Below are 14,512 nucleotides of genomic sequence, written 5' to 3' on the forward strand. Positions count from 1 at the left end.
ATGGATCTGTGGTCATTTGTGCATCAGGTATATAGCTTTGCTGATCTGTGCTAGCTGTCCCATCTCTGGTGCTTCAACTACGACAATTGGGCTAACTCAACTCTGACCCATGTGGCGTCTCATCTTATAGGAGTCAAGCCTAGCTTATTGAAGTTACAGGGACAGGATGCCAAAAGAGCAAGTGGAGGCACCCAGAAATTCTGGAAGATGAACTCTGCCACTTTCTTGCAGTCAAAATATGGCACAAGACCACCCATAATCAAGGGGTGAGGATGTTCTACCTCTTGATGGAAGAAGGTGAGAAGCCATTGATCATGGTCACCATTGCCTCCCAATTCACCACAGAAGTCATCTCAGGTCTCTGTTTGTTTTTATTTATTTGTTTTTGAGGGATCCATCACCTTGAGTATTTATCATTTCTACCTGTTGGGAACATTTTAAGACCTCTCTTCTACCTACTTTGAATACAATAAATTGTTGATAATTATATTCACCCTACTCTGCTATAGAACACTAGAACCAATTTCTTCCTTCTAACCGTATGTTTGTACTCATTAACCATCCTCTCTTCATCGCCCCCTACCCACATACACACACTCATCCTTTTCAGCATTTCTTAATTATTGTTGTACTCTTTATCTCCATAAGATCAACTTTTTTAGCTCCCACATATAAGTGAGAACAAACAGTATTTGTCATTCTATGCCTGGCTTATTTGACTTAACATAATGACCTCCAATTCCATTCACATTGCTGCTTTGAGGGTTTTCATCATGGAGGGATGTTGAATTTATCAATTCTTTTTCCCCAACAGTTAAAATTATCATATAATTTTTATCCTTCATTCTATTAATATAATGTATCCCATTGATTGATTTGCATATGTTGAATCATTTTTGCATCTTGGGGATGATGAACTTGATAATGATGAATGATCTTTCTATTGTATTGCTGAATTAAATTTTGTAGTATTACGTTGAGAATTTTTGTATCATCATTCACCAAACACATTTGCCTACATTTTTATTTTTTATATGTCTTTGTCTGGTTCTGTTATCAGTGTAATATGGGCCTTGTAGAATTAATTTAGAAATATTATCTCTTCCTCTTTTTTTGAAACATTTGAGTAGACTTGGTGTTGGTTATTCTTTAAATATTTGGTAGAATTCAGCAGTGAATCCATTGGGCAACAGGATTTTCTTTACTGACAGACTTTTTGTTACAGCTTCACTATTGCTACTTGTTATTTATTTGTGAATGTTTTGGATTTCTTCATGGTTCAGTCTTTGAAGGTTGTATGTATCCAGGAATTTATACATTTGTTCTTCTGACTTTTCCATTTATTGGTATGTACTTGCTTATAGTAACCACTAATGTTCCTTTAAATGTCTGCACTATTAGTTGTAATAGCTCTTTCTTATCTCTGGTTTTATTTATTTGGGTCTTCATTCTTTCTAAGTCTGGAAAAAGGTTTGCCAATGTTGTTTAACTTTTCAGAAGACAAACTTTTTATTTAGTTGATCTTTTGTGTTGTTTTCTTTATTTCAATTTTATTTGTTTCTGCTCTGATTATTATTATTTTTTCTCCTAATTTGGGGGTTTATTTGCTCTTGCCTTTCTAGTTATTTCAGATGCATTGTCAGGTTATTTGATGTTTTTCCTATTTTTCTGATGTAGGCACTTATAGGTATAAAATTCCCTCTTAGAGCTGCTTTTGCTGTATCTCAAAAAGTTTACTTTGTTACATTTTCATTATCATTTGTTTAAAAAATTTTCAATTTTATTTTTAGTTTTTTTATTGACCCACTGGTCTTTCAGGATCATATTGTTTAATTTCTATGTATTTGTATAGTTTCCAAAATTTCTCTTGTTACTTTAGTTTTATTGCACTGTATTCATAGAAGATGCTTGATATTATTTTATTTTTGTGAATGCTATATGACTTGTTTTGTGTCATAACATATGGCCTGTCCTTGAGAATGATCCACGTACTCAGGAGAAAAAACTGTCAATTCTGAAGCATTTAAAAAAGTTTTCTTTAAGTATCTACTAGGTACTTTTGTTCTATACTGCCCATTAAGTTCAATGTTTCTTCATTGTTTTCCTGTCCAGGAGATGTGTCCAATGCTGAAAGTTGGGTGTTGAATCTCTAGCTATTTTTGTATTGGTGTTGATCACTCTCTGTAGCTCTAATAATGTTTGCTTTGCATATTTGGGTGCTCCACGGTAGGGTGTATATATATTTACAATTGTTTTATCCTCCTGTTGAATTGATCACTTCTTCATAGTAAAATAACCTACTATGTCTCTTCTTATATATTTGTCTTGAAATATATTTTGAAATATATTTTGTCTGATGTAACTATAGCTACTCATGCTTTTTTCGTTTTTGGTTTGCATTCACACGGAATACCTTTTTCCATCCCTTTATTTTTAGTATATATGTATCCTTACAGGTGAGGAAAAGAAAATATGTTCATAAATACTAGAGGGATTATTGTCCAGGCTATATATGTTATATTAATTATAACCATATCCAGGGAGATTGAGGAGAAACTTTTAAAGAAAAAAAGTCAAATTGCATTCAGGTTGTTTTAAAAGTTCAATAGTTACAGGGGATTGTTACATGTGATAATGTGTGTACAAGCCATTGCTAGGAGAGTGTCTTCACAGGAACAACCCTGACTGCAAGGTTGCAGTTCAGTAAGGTTACTTTCAAGGTTGTGGTTAGGACAGGCTTTTACTAGAAATAAGTCCTCACAGAAATAAGTCCTCATCATCTTTAACTGCATGGTTGTGTTTTTGGCAGAGTCCTTTGATGATAGCTCCTGTTGTCAGGCAAATAGGCATGAGGACCCTGCCTTCATGGCCTTGTGACTCCATTTTGTTAGGGTTTGACATCAATAACTCCATTGTGATAAGTCTCACACACACAGGACTTTGAATTCACAAAATATTATGTGTAAAATATTATTGTATTTCAAGGTTTCTCATTAAATATCATTGCAACCTATATATTTTTTTTATTTTATCAAAGGTGGAATTAAAGTGTTTTCTTTTTAAGATTAATGCTATTTCCCAATACATTTTTAAAAATATTAATTTATTATAAGATTGTCTCCCTATATTCTCCTCTCCTTAATTTTCATTCTAACAGATGTTATACTCTGTGCGTTATGTTCTTTAGAAATGGACATACATTTGGCTGGGCGCCGTGGCTCACGCCTGTAATCCCAGCACTTTGGGAGGCCAAGGCGGGCGGATCACAAGGTCAGGAGATCGAGACCATCCTGGTCTAACTCGGTGAAACCCCGTCTCTACTAAAAATACAAAAAATTAGCCGGGCGTGGTGGCGGGCGCCTGTGGTCCCAGCTACTCGGGAGGCTGAGGCAGGAGAATGGCGTGAATGTGGGAGGCGGAGCTTGCAGTGAGCCGAGATGGCGCCACTGCACTCCAGCCTGGGCGACAGAGCAAGACTCCGTCTCAAAAAAAAAAAGAAAAAAAGAAATGGACATGCATTTGCTGAGAACAGTCATAGATGTTAGAGCTCTTCAAATTAAAGAAAATAGTAATTTCGGAGAAAAATCTGGGACAGAGGGGCTTCCCCAAAGCTAGAAAAAGTGATTGACTCCTGTGATAGAGGAAAGCAAAAAATCAGGACATCTGTTAAGGAAAATTTGTGCTCTCTACGCTTTTGACACCTCAGGAATAGAGTAGGGCCTCAGCACGAATGGATGCAGGGTATAGGAAGCTAGATCCTAGGCCTGGGACTCCAAAAATATGGCAGGGTACAGCAGAGGGCCCTCAATGGCATGCAACTTATATGACATTGAATGGAGGGCTGTCTTACAAGCAGGCATGTCTTACAAGGTGGCAGGTGAGAGAGAATCAAAGGGGAAGAATCAAAGGGGAAGAGCCCCACACTTACCAATCAATCATATCTCGTGAGAATTAATTCACTATCATGAGAATAGCATGCGGGAACTGCCCCCATGATCCAATCAGCTCTCACCAGGTCCCTCCCTCAACACCTGGGGATTACAATTCAGATTACGATTCAAGATGAGATTTGAGACAAACCATTATCAGAGAGTGATGTTTCTTGTACACTCAAGTTGGTGGACTGAGAATAACAATCATAAGTAAGTTTTAATTTATGTATTTTATATTACAAAAATAGCATTTATTTTAAGTTATTCAACATAAAATATTATCAATTCTTGAATTTTGCAAATTATACATGCTACCAACTTCTGGCCCTAAAACTCTGATATCCTTACTCCCCAAATTCTTAATATTTAGCAGCACCAAGAACAGAATCTAGGGCAACAATGAAATTTAAGAATGTAAACAGAGGGCACATAATTTGCAAAACAGACAGAAAGACAAACTAGCAAGACAAAATAAGCCAGAGAATCAGTAATTAGTGCCTGCTACTGCTTAAGTTTTTTTGAAGGCATGAGACTAATGTCTGTTAAAAGCAAAACTTTAGACAGATTATATTTAAGAGTTTAATTGAGCAAAAAACAATTTGTGTATTAGGCAGCCCCCAAAACCAGACTAGGTTCAGAGGCACTTTGGTGCTTCCATGTGGTCAGCAAGGATTTATAGACAGAAAAAGGAAAGTAACATCAGAAAATGGAAGTGAGGTAAAGAAACAGCTGGATTTGTGACAGCTTGATGTTTGCCTTATGTGAACACGGATTGAACAGTTGGCCATTTTTGAATGGCCAAAACTAGAGTGATTGGTAGGTTACAGTCTGTTTACATATCCAGTTAGGTGAAGTTCACTACGCACAGAGAAACCTTTAGACTAAATTTGAAATATGTAAGGAAGCAGCTTTAGCCTAAACATAATATAACAAGTTATTGGCAACTGTAGGGCATCGGGAAATATAAATGTAGATAGAAATGCGGGGAGAGAACTATATACACAGTTTTTAATGGCTTCTTTTGGAAGGAAAGAGGTCTGGCATTTTCCCATGATTCTGAAACAGAGGACACAAGGGTTAGTTGAAGGAAAAAGCTGTCATGCCACTCAGTTAGGCACTTATTGGAGTGATGAGGCATGCACCCAGAAAATGGTGCAAGACATATGCATGGTGAAGGTCAGAGATCCAAAAGGAGACAGCTGCCTTTCTCATAATACTCCATGCAAGGACCTGGTACAAGGATGAATTCTGCTCTAGAAAACTACATGAATTACCTATGTAGAGAACACATTATTTATAGAAATTACAACCTTCAGGTACACCTTGTGTGGATTGAGAATATGGGTGCATCCCTTCTGCCCTGCTTTCATTCAGAAGTACATATAGCCAGCTCTAAACATTAGTTTCTCCAGGGTCTAGTCAGGGGCAAAATGTTGACATTAGCATGAGGAGAAAGATCAAATGCAATAAATGAGAATAGCTGCTCTCCTGACACACATAGTTTTTAAAAATTGAATCTCACTGCACCTACTGTTTTGTCACCTGCTTCTTCATTATATATTACCAGTGCCTGTCAGTGCCATTATGTACACTTCTTCCAAATAATTTTTGATAGCTTCATAAAATGTCTTTGACTAGAGGCATTGTATTTTAGGTAATCTTCATGTGGGAGAAAAAAAAAACCTTTCTTTTCCTTTTATTATTTGTGTGTGTGTTTAAATAGTTTTATTCTGTTATAAAGAATACAGCTCACACTTGATTTTTACAATAAATGTTTAGGAGCAAAATAATTGAGTTAAAGATTATGGGCAATTTTAAGACTCGTAAGACACTCTGCTAAGTTGCTGTCCTAATTTGTATTTCTGCCAAAGGAGTAAGATATGGTCAATTTCCTGGTACCTTTACTGCCACTAAATGTATTATTTATTTATTGCTGCATCATAAATTACCACAAACGTAACAGCTTAAAACAACACATATCTATTATCTCACAGTTTCTGTTTATCAGTAATCTTGGCTTGGTTAAGCTATATTCTCTACATCAAGATTTCACTAAACTGAAATCAAGATGTCAGCTAGACTGTATTCTTTTCTGTAGGTACAACTGGAGAACAATTCACTTCTAAGCTCATCCAGATTCTTGGCAGAATTCATTTCCTCATAGCCAAAAGACTGAGAATTTCCTTAAATTTTTCAGCTGGAAGTCTCCCTTAACTTCCCAGCAATGTGTAATCCTGTATAAGCAGTCCACAATATGACATCTTACTTTTTTAAGGTCAATAGAAGTGCAAGGTAATGCTGGCTAGCAAGAGATTATTATATAACATAATCTAATCATGGGAGTGACATCCCATCACCTTTGCCAGTCTCTTAGTTAGCAGTATGTCACATATCCAACCCAAATTCTAGCAGAGGGTTTTGTACAAGGGTATGGACATCATGAGGCAGAAGTAATAGCAGGACAATTTAAAAGCTGTCAAGCACACTAGATATTATCATTTTTTTTGCTTTTTATAAATCTAATATGTATTACTTGTTTTCATTTACACTTTAATTTGCACTCATATGGTTTTGATGATTAAAATAAGTTTTAAAGGAAAAAGTGGTCAACAATATTAAATGCTGCTTACAGAAAAAATAACATATAAAATTCACAGCTTTAACTGAAATTAACCACAGATTACCTAGAACTCTTTCTGTACTGACTTCAACATTAACCAGGCATCAAAATAATTTCCAGAGAAGTAGTAATGTTTATGAGAATGCTATCTGGAGCTAGAATGCCTAAGTTTAAATATTAGCTCTGTTGTTTATAAGCTATGTGATGTTAGCCACTTACTCTCTCTGAATCTTAGTGTTCTTATTTGTAAAATCTGGATGATATTAATAAATGTTTAACTTTAGTGAGAACTTTCTAAGCACATTAGCATTATTTAACCTATGTAAATCTTAGTAACTTTATGAAATAGAAAATTTTAAATATATTACCCTAGGCTGTGGTGAGGATTCACTTAGTTAATTTAAGCAAAGACATTAGAACAGTGCCTTGCATGTAATAAGCACAATAAATGTTAGTTATTATCATTACTATGATATACATAGTATTGTATTCATATTCACGCTCTCAATGATAGAAATATAATGTTTAAACCCTCCCCCAAATTATTAAGAGAATAACACATACACAGGAGAAAAGTGAATTCAGAATCACAGATACTTAATTAGTTACCTTATGGTCAAGTGACATATGTAATGTTTAAGTTCAGAAACTAACACAAGAACAGAAAACAAGCACCGCATGTTCTCACTCATAGATGAGAGTTGAACAATGAGAACACGTGAACACAGAGAAGGGAACATCACACACCGGGGCCTGTTGGGGAGTGGGGGGATAGGGGAGAAATAGCACTGGGACAAATACCTAGTGTACATGGTGGGTTGATGAGTGCAACAAGCCACCATGGCACGTGTATACCTATGTAACAAACCTGCATGTTCTGCACATATACCCCAGAACTTAAAGTATAATAAAAAAAATAAAAAATAAAATAAGTTCAGAAAATCGAGGAATCTCTCTTAAAAGAAACAAGCCATAAAGTATTTTTTAAAAATTGTTAGGATTTTGTTCCAGATAAAATTGAGAGACGAAAAATTACAAATTAATGAAGTAGTGGGTTCAATAGTAAGAAATGGCATGACCAAAGCTAGTCTCTAAGAACAAATTAAACAATATATATAACACAAACAGGTGCTCAGGCCTGACAGGAAAGTTCACACCAGAATATAGTTGCTCTTGATATACTGCATTAATTTGTGAATATTAATTCATCCACATATCTTTCCTGTTACTACATATTCAGCAAAATGGTGATTTGTCATAATGAACACAGTAGCTCAATAAGAACATCATATCCAATGCTGAATTGTATACTTATGATCCCTATGAGGAAGGAAACAATTGAATGTCCTCCAGCTTTCATTTCCTCTAATTTACCATCAATTCATCCCTCAAAACCTACTTCATTCACAATACCTCCTCAGACATTCACAAGCTCCTGAAATGTCTGTTATCATTTATCGTACAAAGACATAGCACCTTGCATGTTTACGTAAATATCAAGAATATAAATTGTGGTTTTCAATAAGAGGGCAGGCTCCTGACTGGGGAGGAATCCGGATTTACAGCAGGAAAAGAGATTATTATTTATTGAGCACGTCATACACTTCTGACGCTATGCTAAGTGTGTTCACACATATTTGTGCATTAAACTCTCACCAAGACCATTCACTGTAAGCCTGACTAACAAGAATCCAGTGATCTCGCTATTCTGATTAGAACGGTTTGTGCTGATGAAATATACATATTCTCTTTTCACTGATGTATCTAAAATATGATGACAAAAATGACAAGAAGTGGGCCTTACAACTTGTAGCTCATTGTACCACACAAGCACAGACAACATCACCCTTAACTCATTAAATTCCAGTGATTTAAAATGAGTTGTGTATTGGATATGGCAGAGGTATCCCTCTGAGAGAATGGACACTATACTGAAAGTCAGGAAGCATAAAGCCTCCATCCAGGTTGTAAGCCTTACCCTGCTACTCATATAGTCCAGAAAATAGCAAAAATAAAATGTATTTAGTGAATATTTCTTATAGCCAGACACTCTTCTAAGTATACCTATGAATTCATTCAATCTTCACAACTACATGAAGTAAGTACTATATCAACGATGTTGTATATATGAGAAAACTTGTCCTAGTAGATGACAACTGAAAAGCTTCACTTCAGGGGATCTCTTCGCTTGTTTGTCAATTTTGAAATGTAATTGGTTTCTCCCTGCCCCCTGCCTTCTGCCCCAGCCCTTTGGGTATTTGAGAACCAAATTATAGAAAGAAGCACTTTGTTTTATCAATAATTTTTCTGTATAATACACTTAGTCATCTTTACTTGTCAACATTTCTTAATAATATGAATAGTAACGAGTTTCAAAACATCCGGAATATTACCTAACTCTGTACTTCAGCCTATAAACCTAGAGAATATCAATGCAATTCTATAAATCTTTAATTTACAGGGAAATTATAATGTTATATGGTGGCTATAGGAGTGTTTTAAGAAATTTAAAGTGCTCTACATGGGTAAAGATTAACCAAGTAGAATACTTGCTAAATGCAAGAACTTATTTCTGTTTGCCTTTGATTCGTTTTCTTAAAAAGCATGTTTACCTCAAAAACAATTCTATCTTTTTCTCTTCCTATTGCCACTGCATCAGACAAAAATGTCTCTACCCTTCTTTAACTGGGCCTTCCTGCTTCTCTGGTTCTTGATAATAATTAATTCAAGTAAAAAGAGGTTGCTTTTGGTGTTGTACATTAAAATGGGCAGTCACAGAATGCATGGAAAGGCAAGGGGAGTATGGGAGTTTAAAAAGGTAGAAACTAATGTTCACACTGCGGTATAGCAGTTATGCAGAAAAGAAGCAAGGAGCAGAATTTGAAGAAGTCAAAGGAAAGACTTGAAGAATAAGTCTACCAGGGCAGTCCCTCTTGTCACTGAGAGCCCCTGAGAATTCTCAGCAGAAGCAATGTAAGAGAAGCAGATTTGGCCCTATATAGGGTAAAATATTCAAGAAACTCAAGTTTGAGAATAGGGAGCATTACTCCCAGAGGGGAATGTGCACTCATGCTGCCGTAACTTGAGAAAGTTGTTTTTAACACAGACAACTACACTTTCTTTGTAATTCTCAAGCTATAATTAGGCATATGTAGACAAAGCAATTGTGTAGAATGTTCAAAAATGTCAATTCATCATGTTTTTATTTTCCACAAAGGAGAAATGTTTTTTTCTTTTTTGATGGGTCTCTCACGTTAAAAAACCAAGTTGTGAGGATTTCAGCTTTCTCTGTAGCTTATCAGTATGTTATGAGAGACATGTTGCTAAAAATAACAGGGAAGTAAACCTAAGTCCATGTATTGGAAATAACACTAGGCCTTTCACCATTGATTTTCCTTTCCAAAACAGCTATACCAAGACTTAGATATTTCACTTAGAGACTTTACGATTTGAAAGATACGGACTCTTGTCGTATTGCTTCTAAAATACCAGTAAAAGTTTTATTCCAGGGGCTAGGTAGCCTCAGTGGGTTGATTCAATGCTTAAGACTCAAATTTTGATAAGATGATGCCCATTTTACAGATATCAAAGCTGATATTCAGGTTGCTTAGAAAAATTCACTTTATATACATATAATAGATAGAAATATAAACACACACACACACACACACACACACACACACACACACAGCTAATGTGAAGGTCAGCACATTGTTTGAAACCGTGGAAGGTTTGAAACCTTCCAAAGTTTATGTTTATGTTTCTTTTAAAACATAATGTTTATGTTCTTTTTCTACATAAATGGGTTATTTTTTTAATTTTATATTTTTATTTAATTTTTCCATAGGTTATTGGGATACAGGTGGTATTTGGTTACATGAGTAAGTTCTTTAGTGGTGATTTGTGAGATTTTGGTGCACCCACCACCCGGGCAGTATACACTGCCCCATATTTGTAGTAGCTTATCCTTTGCCTCCCTCTCACTCTTCCCCTAAAATCCCCAAAGTCCATTGTATCATTCTTATGCCTTTGTGTCCTCACAGCTTAGCTCCCACATGTCAGTGAGAACATACAACGTTTGGTTTTCTATTCCTGAGTTACTTCACTTAGAATAATAGTCTCCAGTCTCATCCAGGTCACTGCAAATGATGTTAATTCATTCCTCTTTATGGCTGCATAGGATTCCATCATGTATATATATATAATATCTATGTGATATATATCTCTCATATATATATCTATGTGATATATATAATATCTATGTGATATATATCATATATATTTGATATATATATGTGATATATATATATCAAATATATATAATATCTATGTGATATATATAAAATATATATAATATCTATGTGATATATATAAAATATATATATTTCTTTATATATATATTTTATATATATATACCACAGTTTCTTTATCCACTCGTTGACTGATGGACATTTGGGTTGGTTCCATGATTTTGCAATTGTGAATTCTGCTGCTATAAACATGCATGTGCAAGTATCTTTCTTGAATAATGACTTATTTTCCTCTGGGTAGATTCCCAGTAGTGGGATTCCTGGATCAAATGGTAGTTCTACTTTTAGTTCTGTAAGGAATCTCCACAGTGTTTTCCATAGTGGCTGTACTAGTTTACATTCCCACCAGCAGTGTAGAAGTGTTCCCTGTTCACCACATCCACGCCAATATCAACTGTTTTTTGACTTTTTGATTATGGCCATTCTTGCAGGAGTAAGGTGGATTATGTAGAAAAAGGTAAACATGTCCCAAATAGAGCAATAAAAATAACTAAAAGAATGGATAATGGGTTTCATGAGAAATGCTTAAAGAACCGTATGGCTTTCTTCACTATGAAAAATTAATATACAATGTAACCTACACATCTTCATATTACCAGTAACTAAAAAAGAGAATGTTGTTTCAAGTGCAATAAAAAAATGAAACACTTTAAAACATCAGAAAAGTACATCTGCTTTTTGAGTGCAGAAATCCTAGAGAAAAGAACCAGTTGAAGTGTCTGTTTCTGAAACACTTGAAGCAAAACACGAACAGACTCCCCTTTAACCTGGCCAAAGAGACATAGCTGGAGAAGATGCTCTCTTTATGGCCTTTTCTATGTTATTATCCGGTGATTCCATTACTTAACATTTTACAAATCATCAAAAGTCCATAGTACTTTATGATCACTCCATTTTTGCCTACCAGTAGAGTCAGGGGTGTGCAGAATTAAAAGATCTTGCCTGTTCCATGAAGTTAATCTTAACACAGTATAATGACATAAGACATGTTGATCTTTTTTTTAATTTAACAGGTCTAATAATGAAATGTCCTCAAGCAGCATTAGTGAAACTATTTTTCTCCTAAATGACATGTAGTTACGGAAGATCCTATTTAGATACACTCATTTATATAAACCTTTTTTGTCTTATGCCTCATAACTTCAATTCATCAGAGATGAATGGCATAATGGCGTAGTGAATAAAGATTTCCTTCAAGCCATAGGTCACAATGTGTGAAATAAATAAAAACATGTTATTACCCACAAATATCTTCTTCAATAACACTATTTTAATAGTATTTTCCCCTAGTCAACTCATCAGATTGCATTATTAGTTTGCAGCTGAATGTATTTCTCTCCTTATTCAGTTGAGATAATTTATTTGCTTTTCAAAGTTCAGAGCTTACTCTTCAAATTAGGCTGCTCATCTGCTCTAAGATTCCTCTTCTCTATAAAGCCTGCAAAACTAATATTTTTACAACCCTAGGAGTCAACTCTTATGTGAGGGCTAAATATATCCTCTATAAAATAATGAAATAATATATCACTGCAAACCCTAAAGGAAAGCAAATACATGGTATGTTGAGGCTTCAAGCATGGCTGGGACTGCTTGGGAAGAGGATAAGTGAGAAGTTAAAGAGACCTAGAAATATGCTTTGAAGAAATTCAGTATTGATGCTTTATGAAAATAATGCTGCATAAAATAAGGAGTTGGCTCTAACACTGAATAAGAGGAATAAGAGCATTATTTGTGAAAAATATTTATCCCGGAAAACAAGATAACATTTAGTCACAATCTAGCACCTTATTATTATTATTATTGTTTTTTTTGAGACAGAGTCTCATGCTGTCACCAGGCTGGAGTGCAGTGGCACAATCGTGGCTCACTGCAACCTCTGTCTCCCGGGCTCAAGCTATTCTCCTGCCTCAGCCTCCTGAGTACCTAGGATTACAGGTGCAAGCCACCACGCCCAGCTAATTTTTGTATTTTTAGTACGGTAGCGTTTCACCATGTTAGCCAGGCTGATCCCGAACTCCTGACCTTAGGTAATCCACCCCACTCAGCCTCCCAAAGTGTTGGGATTACAGGCGTGAGCCACTGTGCCCAGCAAATCTAGCACCTTATTAATATTAATCATAAACTAAATCCATGAATACACAGAGTATTTCTAAGACATTCTAAGCTTTCTGTGTGCCTTACAAAATTAGAACCTCTAAGCTTTTTCACTGTCCTGAATTTTATGTTAATTACTCCCTCACTTTTCTTCTGTATTTTTCCCAAATATGTATGCAATGTTGAAATATCTGTTTAGTTTTGTTGTGTTACTTCTACAGAAATGAAATGATAATGAACCTATTACTATGTGACTTAATTTTCTTCAATATCATTTTTTCAGATACATTAATGTTAATGCATGAAGATGTAGTTCATTGTTTACTATTGATATCTATTATTCCATCATACAAATATAATACATACTTATCCATTCTAAGATTAGCAGACATCTAGCTTGTTTCTAGTTGGAGGCGCCTATGAACAAGTTGTCTGAGTATTCTCTACATATATCTGAGATTATTTGTGTTAAGAGTTTCTGCAGGGGCACATATGTGTGTGTGTGTGTGTGTGTGTGTGTGTGTGTGTGTGTATTAAATTGATAGCAAAAGGGTTTGCTTATATTCATCTTTAACAGATAATATGAAAGAGTTTTTTCAATGTTGTTGTAACAATTTATATTCTCCCCAGCCATTTGAGTTTTAGGATGCCCCATATCTATTTTCTTTCAGTTACTGGGACACTGAAGTTCGTTATATATTCTGGAGACATTTCTTTTGTCAGTTTTGTGTCACACATACTTTCTCAAATTCGTGGTTTATCTTTCCATTCCTTTTAATGTGTCTCTTGATGAATATAAATCCGTAAGTGTAACTAAATTTACCAAAATATTGAGCTGCTTAAATAATATTTAAGAGATTTTCTCGCTAACCTACAGCAAGTGTCAGCAAACTATAGCCCACTGTCAAATTCTGGAATGTTGTAAGTTTATGGTCTACTAAGATTGTCTTTTTAAATACATATTATATATATATATATATATATATACATATTTATTTATTTATTTGTAAATTTATTTATTGTACTTATGGGTAAATTATATATAAACATATATAGTATTTATATTTATATATAATATAAAATTATTTATATATAAATATAAATAATAATCTATGTATTTATATACATAAATATAAATAATAATATATAATATATAATATATAAATAATAATATATAATATATATTATATATAAATATGAATAATATATAATATATATTATATATAAATATGAATAATATATAATATATTATTTATATATAAATATAAATAATATGTCATATTATTTATATATAAATATAAATAATATGTCATATATATTTATATATAAATATAAATATGTCATATATATTTATATATAAATATAAATATGTCATATATATTTATATATAAATATAAATATGTCATATATATTTATATATAAATATAAATATGTCATATATATTTATATATAAATATAAATATGTCATATATATTTATATATAAATATAAATATGTCATATATATTTATATATAAATATAAATATGTCATATATATATACAAATATAAATATGTCA

The sequence above is a fragment of the Homo sapiens genome, chromosome X (genome assembly GCF_000001405.40).
Source record: "Homo sapiens chromosome X, GRCh38.p14 Primary Assembly".
In the NCBI taxonomy this organism is placed as follows: domain Eukaryota; kingdom Metazoa; phylum Chordata; class Mammalia; order Primates; family Hominidae; genus Homo; species Homo sapiens.